This window comes from Homo sapiens, chromosome 17 (genome assembly GCF_000001405.40).
Source record: "Homo sapiens chromosome 17, GRCh38.p14 Primary Assembly".
Classification (NCBI taxonomy): Eukaryota; Metazoa; Chordata; class Mammalia; order Primates; family Hominidae; genus Homo; species Homo sapiens.
In genome coordinates this window covers 46,349,345-46,367,235 of record NC_000017.11, presented here as the reverse complement: position 1 = coordinate 46,367,235, position 17,891 = coordinate 46,349,345, and the positions used below count along the sequence as shown (strand labels likewise).

Genomic DNA, 17,891 nt, shown 5'->3' with positions numbered 1-17,891 from the left:
TTAATGTTTATTTTTTGGTAGAGACAGGGTTTCACCATGATGGCCAGACAGCTCTCGAACTCCTGACCTCAAGAGATCCACCCGCCTTGGCCTCCCAAAGTGCTGGGATTACAAGCGTGAATCACTGTGCCTGGCCAAGGATTCTCTTAAGGGCAGGTTTATGGAGGGCTGTTTCTGAGGTAAGGAACACAGCTTTCCAAGAGAGGAAGAAGACATCCCTTGAGCAGAGGTTTGATTAGAAGAATAAGTTTAGTGGCACTTGGGGGAAGGTGGTCTGGGTATTCTGTGTGACATTTAAACTCTAACTACCATACCAATACCACTATTACTACAACTATCCCTAATTACACTATTAACTAATTTTAAAGTCTAAGCCAGAGATGAGGAGCTTTCTCCAAATAGGTTTCTCAGAGTGAAATTCTCTTTCTACTTCTCCCAAGAGCACTTTGTCCTTTCCATGCTTTACAAATAACATTATATTGATAAGATGTGTTTTCTATTAAGGAAAAAATAACTCTATTAAGTCAATATCATCACAAGCAATTCATGCTTATTGAGTCGTTGCAGTTCGAGATTTATAAACTTCCCTGAGCAGCCACTGTGATTTCAATTAAACCTCCCTCTTGTCAGAGTTTTAATTTTTAAAAAATAAGTTGAGTTTTCCATTTTAAAATCAGTACACTATTTTCCCTCGATCACTTAAAAACAATCACAGTCCTACCTCCTGAATATATTCACTAGTAAGTTCGGCCTATTTTTAGCCTCTTCCCCTATACATTCCTCATGCATATCATTATAAAATTCTCCCTCTTTTTCTCTCTCTATATGAATGTATTTTGTTTGTTTGTTTTTTGAGACAGAGTCTCACTTTGTCTCCTAGGCTGGAGTGCAGTGGCACTATCTTGGCTCACTGCAACCTCTGCCTTCCAGGCTCAAGCAGTCCTCTCATCTCAGTCTTCTGAGTAGCTGGGGCTACAGGTGCACACCACCATGACCAGCTAATTTTTGTATTTTGTATTTTTTGTAGAGATGGGGTCTCACCATGTTGACCAGGCTGGGCTTGAACTCCTTGGCTCAAGCAGTCTACCCAACTCAGCCTCCCAAAGTGCTAGGATTACAGGTGTGAGCCACTGCACCCGGACGTATGTATTAAATATATATTATATATATATATATATATAAAACATATACGTATATGTGTATGTATTTATGTGATTATAATTGTTTAGCAATTGAATGCCATGTGGGCAGGAACTTTGTTTATTCAGAGGCTTGTGAAAGGAAAATAAAAACTTGGGAACCCAATTCATTCTGCCAAAAGAAAAAAAATTAAGCTGAAAGCTGAGTCATGCAAGAAGTTGCCTTTCCTTTCATTCCTAAGCAGGACTGACTGCAGCTAACTACTCTATGTCCACCTTATCTTATGGTAAGCACGAGAGTAATACATAATTGACTATTCCCCTACTTGCTCCTTGTCTCTTGCAACATGTGAATTCAGTAATGTGACCATACTCTCCTTCTTTCCCTTCCAGCCTGCTTTTCCATTTTAAATATTAAATCCTTGCTGGGCACCGTGGCTCACGCCTGTAATCCCAGCACTTTGGGAGGCCAAGGCAGGTGGATCATAAGGTCAGGAGTTCGAGACGAGCCTGGCCAACATGGTGAAACCCCGTCTCTACTAAAAACAACAAAAATTAGCTGGGCATGGTGGTGTGCGCCTGTAATCCCAGCTACTGGGGCGGCTGAGCCAGGAGAATGGCTTGAACCCAGGAGGCGGAGGTTGCAGTGAGCCGAGATTGTGCCACCGCACTCCAGCCTGGGTGACAGAGCAAGACTCTGTCTCAAAAATAAAAATAAATAAATAAATAAATAAATAAATAAAATATTAAATCCTTCTGGCCGGGCGCGGTGACTCACACCTGTAATCTCAGCACTTTGGGAGGCTGAGGTGGGCGGATCACCTGAGGTCAGGAGTTGGAGACCAACCTAGCTAACATGGTGAAACCCCGTCTCTACTAAAAACACAAAAATTAGCCAGAAGTGGTGGCACGCGCCTGTTAATCCCAGCTACTTGGGAGGCTGAGGCATGAGAATCATTTGAACCTGGGAGGTGGAGGTTGCAGCGAGCCAAGATTGTACCACTGCACTCCACCCTGGGCAACAGAGTGAGACTCTGGCTCAAAAACAAACAAACAAACCAAACTAAATCCCTCAAAATCACCTTTGGAAAAAGGCACAGGCCTGTCTCCCAGGTAAGCATCCTTAATTTTGGCAAAATAAACTTGTAAATTGATTGAGACATGTCTCAGATACATTTTGGTTTACAGGCTCAGTGCAGATATTGGGAAAATAATGAATATTCTTAGGCTATGAGGGATGGAAGGATAAATTCTCATAATTATCAGCTCCAGCATTCCTTCTGTAGGAACAAACAATGGTAAGTAAAAATCTCACCTTCGTTATTTCACCTTTTTTTTAGGTTATGATGACTCCATTCAAACAACCTTCATAGTTCCTGGCAAAACAACTTTCTATCTTTCCCTTGGAAGTCAGTAGGACATGAATATATCATTTCTAATAGATGAAATAAAAATACTAGTAAACATTTGGAAAAATAGCAAGTCATCAAATAAATGAAAATTAAACTAGCATGAGTTTTTTGTTGTTGTTGTTGTTGTTTGAGACAGAGTCTCACTCTGTCACCCAGGCTCTGCACCCAGTGCAGTGGCTCTATCTCGGCTCACTGCAACCTCCGCCTCCCGGGTTCAAGCAATTCTCCTGCCTCAGCCTCCCAAGTAGCTGGGATTACAGGAATGCACCACCACGCCCAGCTAATTTTTGTATTTTTAGTAGAGACGGGGTTTCAGCATGTTGGCCATGATGGTCTTGATCTAACCTCATGATCTGCCCGCCTCGGCCTCCCAAAGTGCTGGGATTACAGGTGTGAGCCACTGCACCCGGTTATGTATAATTTTTATAGTCAGAAAAAACATACTTTAATTTTTAAGGAGTCATATGTATTTATATTAACCCTCATACATATAAGCACTGTAATTAGAAGAGTAAGTAGTACTGTAATTTAATAGTTTTGTTTGCTCAATGCACAGTGAGTCAGCATACAGAGACACCTGGCTGCAGCAAAGAAAGAGTTTAATAATCACAGGGCATCTGAATGAGGAGATGGGAAGAAGCCTCAAATCCACCTCCCTGAGAGGTTTGGGGGGCAGGGTTTTTAAGTCCTCTGGACAGGGGCTGCAGTGTGGGGATCGATGATTGGTCAAGAAGTGAAGGGCGAAGTCATGAGACAGGGAGACCAAGAAACCTCATTCTTGTGCTGAGTGGGTTCCTTGGTTGGGGACGTCAGAATTCAGGATCTGAAAAACAACCCGTTCTTGGGCAAAACGATCTTATGAGTCTAGCGTCAGAAATTCTTACTCATGGTAAGAACCATGGAGAAACAGGTAGGAGGTGGTCTAGCACGTGGAGTGATGTTCAGTGAGTTAGCAGCTGCAGGGAAGTGGGTCAAAGTACACTTGTGCACCCTGGATAACAGCTAACTATATATAATGCTGCCTAAAGCCTGGCTTGTAACTCTCCTTAATCCTGTGAGGGCAGTTTCCATTCTGTATTTGCTTAAAAAGATTAAGGTGGCCAGGCGCGGTGGCTCATGCCTGTAATCCCAGCACTTTGCGAGGCTGAGGTGGGTGGATCACTTGAAGCCAGGAGTTCAAGACCAGCCTGGCCAACATGGTGAAACCCTGTCTCTACTAAAAATACAAAAATTAGGCAGGCGCAGTGGCACATGCCTGTAATGCCAGCTACTTGTGAGGCTGAGGCAGGAGGATCACTTGAACCTGGGAAGCAAAGGTTGCAGCGAGCCGAGATCGCACCACTGCACTCCAGCCTGGGCGACAGTGAGACCCTGTCTCAAAAAAAAAAAAAAAAGGAAAAAGAAAGAAAAAGATTAAGGTGTGGGAGTGGGACAGACCCAGGCTACTTAATATTTTTCTGTAAAACAGCAGGGATAATAGTTTCTTTTCTTTCTTTTTTTTTGAGACAGGGTCTTGCTTTATCGTCTAGGCTGGAGTGCAGTGGCACGATGTTGGCTCACTGCAACCTCTGCCTCTCAGGTTCAGGCAATTCTCCTGTCTCAGCCTCCCAAGTAGCTGGGATTACAGGCGTGTGCCACCACGCCCGGCTAATTTTATATTTTTAGTAGAGATGGGGTTTCTCCATGTTGGTCAGGCTGGTCTCGAACTCCCAACCTCAGGTGATCTGCTCGCCTCGGCCTCCCAGTGTGCTGGAATTACAGGTGTGAGCCACCACGTCTGGCCAGGGATAATAGTTTGTAATTCACTGGGCGTTACGGTCCTGCAGGTAACATTGTTTTTCTTATTTATTTATTTATTTATTTAGTCAATTCTAGCAGTATCTTCTAACTTTTTTTGTTCGTGTTTTTTGAGACAGGGTCTCGCTTTGTCACCCAGGCTGGAGTGCAGTGGCGTGATCACGGCTCTCTGCAGCCTCTACCTCCTGGGCTCAAGTGATCCTCCTGCCTCAGCCTCCCGAGTAGCTGGGACTACAGCCGCTACCATGCCCGGCTAATTTTAAATTTGTTTTTTTTTGCAGAGATGGGGTTTTGCCATGTTGCTCAGGCTGGTCTCGAACTCCTAGCTCAAAGCCTTGGCCTTCCAGGCGTGAGCTACCGCGCCGGGCCTGCTGAAGTTCTTGATATAGTTTCTGGCACATAGTATATGTTTAATAGATGTTTGTTGTTCTGATGATTTCAGTTATGTACCATTTACAGGCGTTTGTAACCTCTTTAGCTAACAAGTTGGGCATTTAGGGAACTGACTATAGAAAGCATTTCTCGGAAACGAGGACTGGTTCTGCGACGTCTTAACGAGGTGCGGGTGGCCAGTATTTTCCCCAACTTGAAAATCTGTGTAGAGGTGGGAGGGCAGTCTAGCCTCAGGCGGAATAGGAAAACTTCCTTATGCCTAATTTCAGTGTCAGTGTGTGGTATTTCCTACGCGGAACACCGCCCCAAACTAATGTCTACGTTTAACTCAACCGCGGTAAATTTCCTTCCATGGCACTATTAACTTGGCCCGGCCCACATGTCCCCTCCCGGTTGGTGTGGACGCTCCGAGGTTAGCTCAAACCTCGGCGATTTTCCCAGCTGATTGGCCGTGCAAATAGACAATCCTTTTGCTTTTCTGATTGGTCGCACATGGCATCGGGGGTGGGGGACGTGGGCGTGTCTCGCCAGAATTCGTTTAACTGTGATTTGAAGATGAACATGGTATTGCCAGAGCTTCATGGCGTCGCCTACGGCGCTCCCTCCCTCCCAGGCCCTTACTCTTCTTTGCATTGGCCAGATATGTCGTCACTCACAAAACTTCGAGCTCATTGGTGCAAAAGCTCCAGGAGGCGGTGGGTGATTGGTTGGTTGCTGTTCCTGCCCCCACGCCTGTCGTGGTTTAGCTGAACTGAGCTGAAATCCTAAAGGCCGCGGAGTCGGCGGTGTTGTAGGTAGCGGTACCTTGAGTGGCAACAGGTGAGTCTCCGGCTGCAGGGATGGGGCGGCAGCACTCAAGACCTGGCTGGATCTCCACTTCGTCTGCGGGCCAGAAACTGGAGGGCGGCGGTGGCTTTCGGAAAGGGATTGGGCTCCGCTGTTCCTTCTTCGCCCTCTCTAGGGCCGGAGCAGCGAGGAACCGAAGGAGGCTTCATAGGTTCCACGCAGGGCCCTCTCTTTGCTCTTCCAGGGGCGCACAAGTTGAGAAGGAGCGGCCTGGCAGCCGGGGCAAAAAAGGGGCGTCTTTCCCCGGGAGCCGGGCGTGCCTGGCTGCCGCGCACGCTCACCTGGGCCACCACGCTTGTTCGCGCCCTTGACGTCGTGCCGACGTTTCTCCCTAATGCACTTTTGGCGCTTGGGGCTGGGAGACTGAGCGTGCCAAAAAGGCCCTGTAGTCGGAGCCATCTTACCTTAGAGGGGTCTCCAGCGGCGCAGGGGTGTCAGGACCACGGGCGCCTGGGGCACATGAGTAGCAATAAGAGGAAAGAGAAGGGAGAGGGAGGTCAAGGTGGTGTGTCTGTGCGGTTGGCAGGGGGAATTGGGACTAGCTGCCTCAAGGGGCATCTGAGCGGGAAGTACCTTCCCTCCCCCAGCATGTTCCTGAAAAGTCTCCTCATCTGTGAGATTTGTTTTTCGAAACAAAGAAAAGGAATCTCTAGTTTTGTCGCCCGGCAAGATTTTGAGTGCTGCAATGCACTGGACTTTTATAGACCTATAATGGACTTTCTTTGAATGATTAAAACATTTATCATTCTTTGGTCACTTACGCCACATTTGTGAACAGGATAAATTCTGTGCTCGCTTTCTCTCATCCTAGAAAGGAATGTTGTGTACTTGGGCGTAATCCATGATATTAAGCTACTGCTGGCCACTGTTGAATTTCAGCGGTGAGGCCTGTGGAATTTGGTTACCTCCGCTCTGTGGTTACCAGAGTCCGAATGAATGGGAGATTGGCTATCCTCCTTGTGTCTTCCTCCTCCCCTGCCCAGGAGTAAAGCTTTCTTTGGTTAGCAATTTAAAAAGAAAATAAATCACAGTCTCTGGAACAAGGATGTATGTCTTTTTCTTTTTGAATTTTTTTTTGTTTTATTATTTTTAAAAATAGAGGCAGGGTCTCGCTATGTTGCCCAGGCTGGTCTTGTACTCCTGGCCTAAAGCAATCCTCCCTTGTCTTCTGTTATCTCAGTAAGCAAAAACTAAAGTGACCCTCTTGCCTCAGCCTCCCAAAGTGCTGGAATTACAGGGGTAAGCCACCCTGCCTGGTCTGAAGATCTTTACAGACTTCCAAGAGCTTAGTTAGAGGTGTAGACCCAGCACTGCTTGTAAGTCTTTACTTAGAATGTCAAGCTCACATTTCAAGTAGGCTGATCTCAAAGAGACTGTAAATTTCTGTAAGTTAGTCTGACTTTACTATTGACTTACTTTATATAACCTACCATGATTTCTACTGAAAAATAAAATATTGAACATTTATGCTGTTAGAAGTCAATATAGTGATTACCTTTTATGGAGTAATGACTGGGAGGAGGCACAAGGAGAATTGGTCTGATAATCATTTTTTTTTTTTTTTTTTTTTGAGATGGAGTCTCACTCTGTTGCCCTGGGCTGGAGTTCAGTGGCCCAATCTTGGCTCACTTCAACCTCCACCTCCCAGGTTCAAGTGATTCTTGTGCCTTAGCCTTCTGAGTAGCTGGGACTGCATGTGTGTGCCACTACACCTAGCTAATTTTTGTATTTTTAGTAGAGACGGGGTTTCACCATTTTGGCCAGGCTGGTCTCGAACTCTTGACCTCAGGTGATCCACCCACCTTGGTCTCCCAAAGTGTTGGGATTACAGGCATGAGCCACTGTGCCCAGCCTGATAAATCATCTTTTCTTGATTTGGTTACATAGGTGTGTTTGGTTCATGAAAATGTATTGAACTTTACAGTTATCATGTATGTTTATATCTGTATGTAAATTATACTTAAATAAAAAGTTCTAAGAACTGGTTGAGAGTAAGGTGATAGTTACAGCAATAGAACACTGGATACTGGCTGGGCCTGGTAGCTCACGCCTGTAATCCCAGCACTTTGGGAGGCTGAGGTGGGAAGATCACTTGAGCCCAGGGGTTCGAGATTAGCCTGGGAAATATAGTGAGACCTCATTTCCACAAAAAATACAAAAATTAGCTGAGCGAGGTGGCGTATGCCTGTGGTCGCAGCTGCTCCAGAGGCTGAGGTGGGAGGATTGTTTGAGATGGGGAGGTTGAGGTTGCAGTGAGCCGTGATTGTGCCACTGCACTCCAGCCTGGGTGACAGAGCGAGACCCTGTCTCAAAACAAAACAAAAAACTCAAACGAAAACTGGATGCTGTGGTGCCTCCTCAACTCTGCCAAGTTATCTCTCTTGGCAGTGAAGCTTCCCAACGCTGAATTTCTTTGCCTCTGAAATTTCTTAGGTTATTTCCAAGGTGTCTGCTAGCCATAAGGAACTACTACGTTTCCAAGGGATATTGTTGTTTAACCTGTCTTAAAGACTTTGTTTTATATTGCATAAAATAAAAAGCTTCTCTGTTTCATAAATTCTCATTTCAGTAGAGTTTAGAATGAGGTATAGTTGTATTTGTTGTATCATTGCTTCTGTACTTGTTTTTTAAAAAAAATTAATTAATTAATTAATTTTTTGAGACAGTCTTGCTCTGTTGCCCAGACTAGAGTGCAGTGGCGTGGTCCTGGCTTACTGCAACCTCTGCCTCCCCAGGTTCAAGTGATTCCTATGCCTTAGCATCCTGAGTAGCTGGTACTACAGGCGTGCACCACCGTGCCCAGCTAATTTTTGTGTTTTTAGTAGAGACGGGGTTTCACCATGTTGGCCAGGCTGGTCTTGAACCCATGACCTCAGGTGATCCACCCACCTTGGCCTCCCAAAGTGCTGGGATTACAGGCGTGAGCTACCGCACCTGGCCTTGTACTTCTGTACTAAATGACTAAAGGCTGCCACTGTCATAGCAGTGCTGAGGCTATGTTGCATATCCCTCTTGGATGCTGCAGTGGAAAATAGAATTTTCTGGTAAGGCATGGAAAGGTTTAGTTGAGTTTCCCTTTGAAGACAAGACTCACTACTCATTGGCCAAAGTGTACCTAAAATTGTTGAATTTTTCCTGGGAGCCATTTCTAATTGACACTTGTATTTTCTGCGTGTTGCTTCTATATCTCTGCAGAGAACAATTATTTGGCTTGCTTTTCTTGTCATGTTACAGAATTCGATTAAATTACAATGGGAAACATTTTTGAAAAGCTCTTTAAAAGTCTACTTGGGAAAAAAAAGATGCGGATTCTTATATTGAGTTTGGATACAGCTGGAAAAACCACCATCTTGTATAAATTGAAGCTGGGGGAGACTGTGCCTGCCGTCCCTACAGTAGGTAAGTTAATGAAAGACCTGTGGCAATTCCAGTTTACAATTTAGTATGTTATATATATTTTTTAGGTTCTGTTTCACCAGAGAAATATGTTTTATTTTTACATGCTTCTTATGTTATTGAATAATTCTTTTTAAAAATCTTGTCTACTCCATGAGCATACATTTTTAGAGGCCAAAAACCAGGTTATATATATCCTTTTCTTTTTTTTTTGACTCTGTCACCCAGGCTGGAGTGCAGTGGTACATCTCTGCTCACTGCAGTCTCAACTTCCTGGGCTCAAGTGATCCTTCCATCTCCCTCCTGAGTAGCTGGAACTACAGGCGTGCACCAGCATGCCCAGCTAATTTTTGTATTTTTAGTAGAGACGGGGTTTTGCCATGTTGCCTAGGCTGGTCTTGAACTCCTGGGCTCAAGCGATCCTCCCGCCATGGTTTCCCAAAGTGCTGGGATTACAGGCATGAGCCTCCGCGCCTGGCCAGGTTATGTATCCTTTTCTAGTGGCTTGCACATTCTTAGGTTCACAAGGGAGACATGTGAACACATGGAGGCTAAGCAAATTTAACCCCATTTGCTTGGCAAAAAAGAAAAAGATAATGGGCAAAACAGGGAGGGTAGTTCTGCCCCTCATTCCTCGCAGCTAGTGTCCCAGCAGAAGGCTGAGGTGGGAGCTGGGAATCTGCTGGTGCCTCCTCAGTCAGCCTCTGTTCCAGCTGGCCTTCCTTAGTGGCAGCATCTCATCTCTACACCAAGTACGCTCCCAGTGCTTAGAGATGGAGTGTGATTTTTCTTCACTCTGGCTCAAACCAGCTGCTTGAGATGATGTCCAACTAGAGAAATAGACAAGCTGGCTGCACTGCTCTTACTGTGAACCAGCACTGTGTTTTACGGGCTTGTTAAGAGATTTACAAAGCGAGTTTTGACAGAACTGAATCTTTGCCTTGTGAACTGCCTCTAGATCCAAACTTCTGACTGAGGATACACCCCACAGGTGGCATGTGAACATTACTACTGTTCTGTTCTGAATATTGAATTAGGCACAGGACTCAAATGATCAACTTTCTTTTTTTTTTTTTTTTGAGATAGAGTCTCGCTCTGTCACCCCAGGCTGAAGTACAGTGGCGCGATCTCGGCTCACTACAACCTCCGCCTCCTGGGTTCAGGCGATTCTCATGCCTCAGCCTCCTGAGTAGGTGGAATTACAGACGTTCACCACCATGCAAGGCTAATTTTTGTATTTGTGGTAGAGACAGGGTTTCACCATGTTGGGCAGGCTGGTCTGGAACTCCTGACCTCAAATGATCTGCCCGGCTAAGTGCTGGGATTACAGGCGTGAGCCACCGCACCTGGTCTCCAAATGATCAACTTTCAACTTGGGCAGTAGCTGCAGAGATTGCATCGATTGAGGAGTGGGAAACCGAGGAGAATGTTCGAGTTATGAGATGGTTGTGTGTAAGGTAGTAATTTGGTTAAATTTTTCAAATGGATAAGCCAGTGCTGCCCAGGAGGCACTTTCTGCAGTGATTAAAATGTTCTGTGTCTGTGCTGTTTAGTGTCGTAGCCAATAGCCATGTGACTGTTCATGTGCTTGAAATGTGGCTAATGCAACTGAGGAACTGAACTTTTTTGTTTTTTGAGATGGAATCTTGCTCTGTCACCCAGGCTGGAGTGCAGTGGCGCGATCTCAGATCACTGCAACATCCGCCCCCTGGGTTCAAGTCATTCTTCTGCCTCAGCATCCTGAGAAGCTGGGATTAGAGGTGCACGCCACCACACCCGGCTAATTTTTGTATTATTAGTGGAGACGGAGTTTTACCCTGTTGGCCAGGCTGGTCTCGAACTCCTGACCTCGGGTGATCCGTCCACCTTGGCCCCCCAGAGTGTTGGGATTACAGGCATGAGCCACTGTGTCCAGCCGGGAACTGAACTTTTAATTGTATTTAACTTTAAGTTTATTTTTTATTTATTTTTATTTATTGATTGATTTTTGATTTTAACTTTAAGTTTAAATAGCCACGTTGCCAGGCGCAGTGGCTTATGCCTATAATCCCAGCACTTTGGGAGGTTGAGGTGGGAAGATCACTTGAGACCAGGAGTTCGAGATCAGCGTGGCCAACGTGGTGAAACCCCATATCTACTAAAAATACAAAAATTAGTAGTGGCATGCACCTGTAATCCCAGCTACTCGGGAGGTTAAGGCAGGAGAATCACTTCAGCCCGGGAGGCACAGGTTGCAGTGAGCTGATATTGCACCATTGCACTTCAACCTAGGTTACAGAGCAAGACTGTGTCTCAAAAAATAAATAAATAGGCCGGGCATGGTGGCTCACGCCTGTAATCTCAGCACTTTGGGAGGCTGAGGCAGGCGGGTTACCTGAGGTCAGGAGTTCGAGACCAGCCTGGCCAACATGGTGAAACCCCGTCTCTACTAAAATTGCAAAATGGGCGTGGTGGCAGGCGCCTGTAATCCCAGCTACTTGGGAGGCTGAGGCAGCAGAATCACTTGAATCCGGGAGGCGGAGGTTTCAGTGAGCCGAGATCGCACCATACACTCCAGCCTGGGTGACAAGAGCGAGACTCTGTCTCAAAAACAAAACAAAATAAAACAAAAACATAAACAAATAGTCACAAATGGCTAGTGACTATGTATTGGACGGTGCTGGGGTAGACAGTTGTTCAATGTCATTTATTGAATAATTTTTCCATGCTGATTTGAAATGCCTTCTTTGTTACATACTAAATTCTCACTGGTATGTGTGTCTTTTTTTGGGCAAGTACCTGTTGCATTTATATTTGAACTCTATTCAAGTGTTACTAGGGCTTGGCATATCCTTAAAAATAATTCATTACTCATTTTCAGAGATTTCCTGGTTATGCTTACTTGTTTATTTCTCCAGGTTAAATTTTAGATAATTTTGCTAAGTTTCCTGCCCCTGCCCCTACCATCATTATAGGATTGGAATGGCATTGTATTTATTTATTTAGCAAGAATTTAGATTGTTGCAATGTAACGAGTGTCTCTCACTAAAATAAGGCATGACTAGAATTGAGGTTTGGAAGGTGAGCAGACCCAGCTTGCTTGGGTCTTGACAGTCATGTTTGGGATTTGGGTGTGGGAAGCCGCTAAGGGGACATCTTTCCTTCTTTTCCTTTCCTCCCTTCCTCCCTTCCTCCCTTCCTCCCTTCCTCCCTCCCTCCCTCCCTCCCTCCCTCCCTCCCTTTTCTGTCCTTTCCTTCCTCCCCTCCCCTCCCCTCCCATCTCTGTCTCTCTCTCTCTGTCTCTCTCTTCCTCTTTTCTTTCTTTTCTTTCTTGGATGTTATTCTGTCATCCAGGCTGGGGTGCGGTGGTGTGATCTCAGCTCACTGCAATGTTTGCTTCAAGCAGTTCTCCTGTCTCAGCCTCCCAAGTAGCTGGGACTATAGGCACACGGCACCAATGCCTGGCTAATCTTTGTGTTTTTTTGTAGAGACAGGGTTTCACCATGTTGCCCAGGCTGGTCTCAAACTCCTGAGCTCAAAGCAATCTGCCCACCTCAGCCTCCCAAAGTGCTGGGGTTACAGGTGTGAGCTACTGTGCTCGGCTTATTCTTTCTTTTTTTTTTAATTTTTAATTTTATTTTTTGGGGCGATTATTCTTTCTTTTTTAAGTTTGAAAATATTCCAATCAAACATAAATGTGTAGAGAAATGACGTGACCACACTATGTGTTTTTAAGCTATTGCTTTGTTTAGAAGATGGTGACCGGATGGAGAGAGGGAGAGTGGCTGAGGTGAAATTAGTTATATGGTTTCAGGAATTGAGGCTAGAAATGATGGTCTGTTGGGTTAGGGTGACTATTAGTTGTTGAAGGGGTTGAATTGATAAGGTGTGGTAGTAGGGTTCTAGGGGTGCGAGCATCGGATGTTTCCAGGGCACCTCTCAGGCTATCAGCTTGTGGAACGAAGTCAATGATGGGATAACTAGCAGAGGAGGAGGTTGGGGGTAGGGACCTTAAATTCCATTTTTGACTGATCACCTTGTTTTGGGGCCTTGAAGACATTTGCCAAAGCTGTTAGATTATGAGCCTGAAGCTCAGGAGAGAGGGCTAGGTTGGGGGATATAAATCTCAGAGTTAGTACAGAGATAGGAATGAAGTCGTGGGAGTGAGTGAGATTGCCTAGGGAGGGGTGCAGAAAGAGGAGAGTGGATGGGGCCAGTGAGAGCCAGGGCGACTCCCATCATTGCAGGATCAGTTAAACGTGGCTGAGTTCACTAAGGAGACTGAGACAGTACAGCCATAGAGATAGAAGGAAAAGGGAAGCTGGGGAAGGGTGTCAAGGAGGGAGTGAGCAGTAGCGTCAGATAGAAGATCAAATTATGGAAGAACTGAGAAGGCCTGTGTTAGATTTATTGACCTGGTGATCACTGCTGACCTTACTGAAAACCAGCTACCCAATGGTGGAGCAGAGCTAAGGTGCTGTTGCGTGAGAGGACCGAAGAAAGCTTAGTGGACAGGTTGCTTGACCTCAGGAGTTTTAGACCAATCTGAGCAACATAGTGAGACCCTGTGTCTACAAAAAATTTTTTAAATTTAGCTAGGTATGGTGGCTCATGCTTATAGTTCTAGCTGCTTGGGAGGCTGAAGCAGGAGGATCCCTTGAGCACAGGAGTTTGAGGCTGCAGTGAGCTATGATTGTACCTCTGTGCTCCAGCCTGGCCAACACAGCAAGGCCCTGTCTCTTAAAAAAAAAAAAAGCAAATAGAGGGTGAAGATGTGAAGGAAGAGAGTGCGATGAAGATGTGGGGATCAAGGAAAGGTTTGTTTTGTTGTTTTTAAAGATGTAAAAGGCTTAAGCATGCCAAGGTGAACAGATTGGAGATATTCAGATATGGGAGAGAATAGGAATAGTAAAAAGTTCCAGACAGTCTGGGTAGGGTGGATCTGGCTCATAGAGGGAGGGAGTTGGTGGAAGAGAGTTACCTTCTTCTGTTGTTCCAAGAGGGAGGAAGAAAAGCATGGGTAAAGATGTAGACTGGCTTTTACACTGTATGGTGGAAGTGGAAGTCATTCCCATCGGCGGCTTCTCTGCTCTGAAGTACACTGTGATAGTCTCCTGCTGAGAGAAAGGGCAGGTGCGTGGCTAGAGATTGGAGAGTAGAGAAGGTTTGAGACACCTGTCCTGATGAATGGGCGAGGGGGCCAGCACATTCTCTTTGAAGGCTATAGATCTTTGACTAGCAGGCTGCTTTGTAAATTAAAAGTACTGTCCGCATGTTGAAATTATTTTGAATTGTTCAACCAGCACAAATCATAATTAAATGTTTTCCCCATGTTTCATTTAGGTTTCTGTGTGGAGACAGTAGAATATAAAAATAACACCTTCGCTGTCTGGGATGTTGGCAGCCACTTCAAAATCAGACCTCTGTGGCAGCATTTTTTCCAGAACACAAAAGGTAAAGATTATTCGGTTTGTAGCCTCGATACTGTTTCTGTGAAATGTCTCTAAAGACGGATGCTTGAAGTGATACCTTCTGGTGCTCTGCTCTATTTACACTGTCAGCCATTTCCTCTCTTAGGGTCTCTTTATACTTACTGGGGAGGTTTCTTTTGTGAGACAGAGTCTTGCCCTGTTGCCCAGGCTGGAGTGCAGTGGTGTGATCTTGCCTCCCTGCAACCTCCGCCTCCCAGGTTCAAGTGGTTCTTCTGCCTCAGCCTCCCAAGTAGCTGGGGTTACAGGCATGCACCACCACGCCTGGCCAATTTTTGTATTTTTAGTAGAGATGGGGTTTCACCATGTTGGTCAGGCTGGTCTCGAACTTCTGATCTCAGGTGATTCGCTCACCTTGGCCTCCCAAAGTGCTGGGCTTATAGGCGTGAGCCACTGTGCCCAGCCCCCCTGTCTACTTTAAATCACTACTAGATTACTTCTTATGTCTACTAGCATGTAAATGCTATATAGTTAGACTGTATTATTTGTATTTTTTTTTTTTACTGTTGCGTTATTATTTTTATTTATTTACTTATTTATTTATTTTTTGAGACGGAGTTTCACTCTTGTTGCCTAGGCTGGAGTGCAATGGCGCGATCTCGGCTAACCACAACCTCCGCCTCCCGGGTTCAAGTGGTTCTCCTGCCTCAGCCTCCTGAGTAGCTGGGATTACAGGCATGCACCACCACGCCCGGCTAATTTTGTATTTTTAGTAGAGACGGGGTTTCTCCATGTTGGTCAGGCTGGTCTCGAACTCCCGACCTCAGGTGATCCACCCGCCTCGGCCTCCCAAAGTTCTGGGATTATAGGCGTGAGCCACCGTGTCCGGCCTGCGTTATTACTTTTTAATATTTTTGGTTCAAGGTGGGTTGAATCTGTGGATACAGAGGGCTGACTATAGTTTTTACACCCCGATTTTCATGTAAAATATTAACCATATGGAATCTACAAATTTCTCATTTTAGAATTTATTTGGAGTCTGTTTGTTTTGAAGATTCTCCTGCATGTACTTGATAGTAAAGACTTACATATTCGTCAGTCTTTCCAGATGAAATACCCAAGTCGACTGTCCCTTTATATTTTATATCATTGTTTTAGCTGTTACCTTTGGCAATTAACTCTATTTGCAGTTATCTTTTCCAGGCTATAGATTTTAGAATGTTTTTTCTCAAAGTAGTGCATTTATTTTTTTAACTTTTTTAGTGGAAAATCTAAAACAAATACAAAGACAGAGAGGATAACATAACGAACCCCCATGTACCCATCACCAAGCCTCAACAGTTATAAGCATTTTGCCCATCCCAGACATGATGCCTTTTATTCATATGTCCTTTAGTGTTCATTTCCAACTGATAAGGCATATATATATATATAAAATCTTCATGCTATTATAACATCTCCAAAATTAATAATAATTCTTTAATATCTAGCACCTAGTCCTTATTCTAATTTCTCCAGTTGTATCAAATGTATCCTGGCTGAGTGTGGTGGCTTACACCTGTAATCCCAGCACTTTGGGAAGCCAAGCCTGGTGGATTACCTGAGGTCAGGAGTTGGAGACCAGCCTGGCCAACATGGTGAAACCCTGTCTCTACTAAAAATATGCAAAAAAAATTAGCCAGGCTTGGTGGTGCATGCCTGTAATCCCAGCTACTCGGGAGGCTGAGACAGGAGATTCTCTTGAACCCAGGAGGCGGAGGTTGCAGTGAGCCGAGATTGCGCCATTGCACCCCAGCCTGGGCGACAGGGCGAGACTCCATCTCAAAAAAAAAAAAAAAAGAGAAAAAAAAAGTATCCTTTCTACATCTTTTCTACATCTGCTTTGTTTGCATCTGGATCAGAGTTCGCACAGTGCATTTTGTTGTTTTGCCTCTTTAGTCTTTTATTCTACAGCAGTTGTTCTTTCTCTATGCCTTTTTTTTTCCTTTTTTTTTTTGGAGACAGGGTCTCGTGCAGTGGCACAATCTTGGCTCACTGTAACCTCTGCCTCCTGGAGTCAAGCGATTGTCTGACTTCAGCCTCCCAGGTAGCTGGGACCACAGGTGCATACCATCACACCTAGCAAATTTTTTTGTACTTTTTATAGAGATGGATTTTCACCATGTTGCCCAATCTGGTCTCAAACTCCTGGGCTCAAGCATCTGCCCACCTTGGCCTCCCAAAGTGCTGAGACCATAGTGTGAGCCACCTCGCCTGGCCTCCCCCCCCCTTTTTTTTTTTTTTTAACTGCTTATTCCACATTCTGGATTTGGTTGATTACTTTATTATGGTGCCATCTAACTTGCTTGGCTATCTGTGGATTTCCTGTGAACTGGTTGTTTATTCTAGAGACTTGATTAGATTTTGGTTCATTTCAGGGGCAAGAATACTTCATAAGTATTCTTCCTATCCTAACACAGAAGTTCGGTTGTCACACTTAGACATTTTTAAAAAAATTTTTATTGTGGCAAAGTATATATAATATAAAATTTACAAGTTTATTTTTAAGTGTACAATTCAGTGGCATTAAGTACATTCACCGTGTTTTACAACCATCACCACTGTCCAGTTCCACAATTTTTTCATCATCCCCAACAGAAACTTTGTATCCATTAGCAATAACTGCCCATTCTCTTCTCCCCCACCCCTCATTAGCCTTTATTCTATCCTCTGTCTATGAATTTGCCTATTCAGTGGAATTGTATATTAGTCTTTGGAAGTTTAGCTGCCTGGCCTCTTTCACTTAGTACAATGTTTTCAAGGTTCATCTATGCTGTAGTATGTATCAGAACTTAATTCCTTTTATGGCTGAATGATATTCTATTTTATGGATATACCACATTTTGTTTATCCATTCATCTATCGATGGACTCTTGAGTTGCTTCTGCTTTTTGTCTATTATGAATAGTGTTGCTATGAAGATTCATGTCCAAGTATCTGTTTGAGTCCCTGCTTTGAGTTCTTTGGGTATATGCCTAGAAGTGGAATTGCTGGGTAACTATGTTTTCTTTTCTTTTTTTTTTTTTTTTTGAGACGGAGTCTCCCTCTATTGGCCAGGCTGGAGTGCAGTGGTGCAGTCTCGGCTCACTGCAACCCCAGCCTCCTGGGTTCAAGTGATTCTCCTGCCTTAGCCTCCCGAGTAGCTGGGACTATAGGCGTGAGCCACCACGTCCGGCTAGTTTTTTTGTATTTTTAGTAGAGACAGGGTTTCACCATATTGACCAGGCCAGTCTCGAACTCCTGACCTTGTGGTCCACCCGCCTCGGCCTCCCAAGGTGCTGGGATTACAGGCATGAGCCACTGCACCCGGCCTCATTTTTTTTTATTGTGGTAAAATACACATAACTTAAAATTTAGCATCTTAACAATTTGTTTTGTTTTGTTTTGTGGTAGTGATGTTTTTGTGAGATGAGGTCTCTATATGTTACTCAGACTGGTCTCGAACTCATGGGCTCAAGTGG

The 17,891-nt window shown here is 44.7% G+C and overlaps 1 protein-coding gene across 5 annotated transcripts in view, besides 1 other annotated feature; it reads left to right on the top strand.

Moving 5' to 3' along the window:
• Positions 5,239-5,533: an enhancer, noted in NCBI's record as "tiled region #7330; HepG2 Activating non-DNase unmatched - State 24:Quies, and K562 Activating DNase unmatched - State 9:DNaseU". NCBI's record gives its function as "activates a minimal TATA promoter and a strong SV40 promoter by Sharpr-MPRA in HepG2 and K562 cells {active_cell/tissue: HepG2 | K562}" and the evidence as "EXISTENCE:reporter gene assay evidence [ECO:0000049][PMID:27701403]".
• ARL17B (ARF like GTPase 17B) overlaps positions 5,449-17,891 on the top strand; it is an 87,604-nt gene continuing 75,161 nt past the window's right edge. For 4 of the 5 annotated variants that reach the window (NM_001103154.2, NM_001352769.1, NM_001330240.1 and 1 more), the window contains exons 1-3: positions 5,449-5,560; positions 8,822-8,986; positions 14,306-14,416. In NM_001103154.2, coding sequence (NP_001096624.1) covers positions 8,839-8,986; positions 14,306-14,416 — 259 coding nt within the window. In that variant the 5' untranslated portion in view covers positions 5,449-5,560; positions 8,822-8,838. The remainder of the gene's footprint in view (positions 5,561-8,821; positions 8,987-14,305; positions 14,417-17,891) is intronic. The other variant, NM_001039083.5, reaches the window with a different exon arrangement.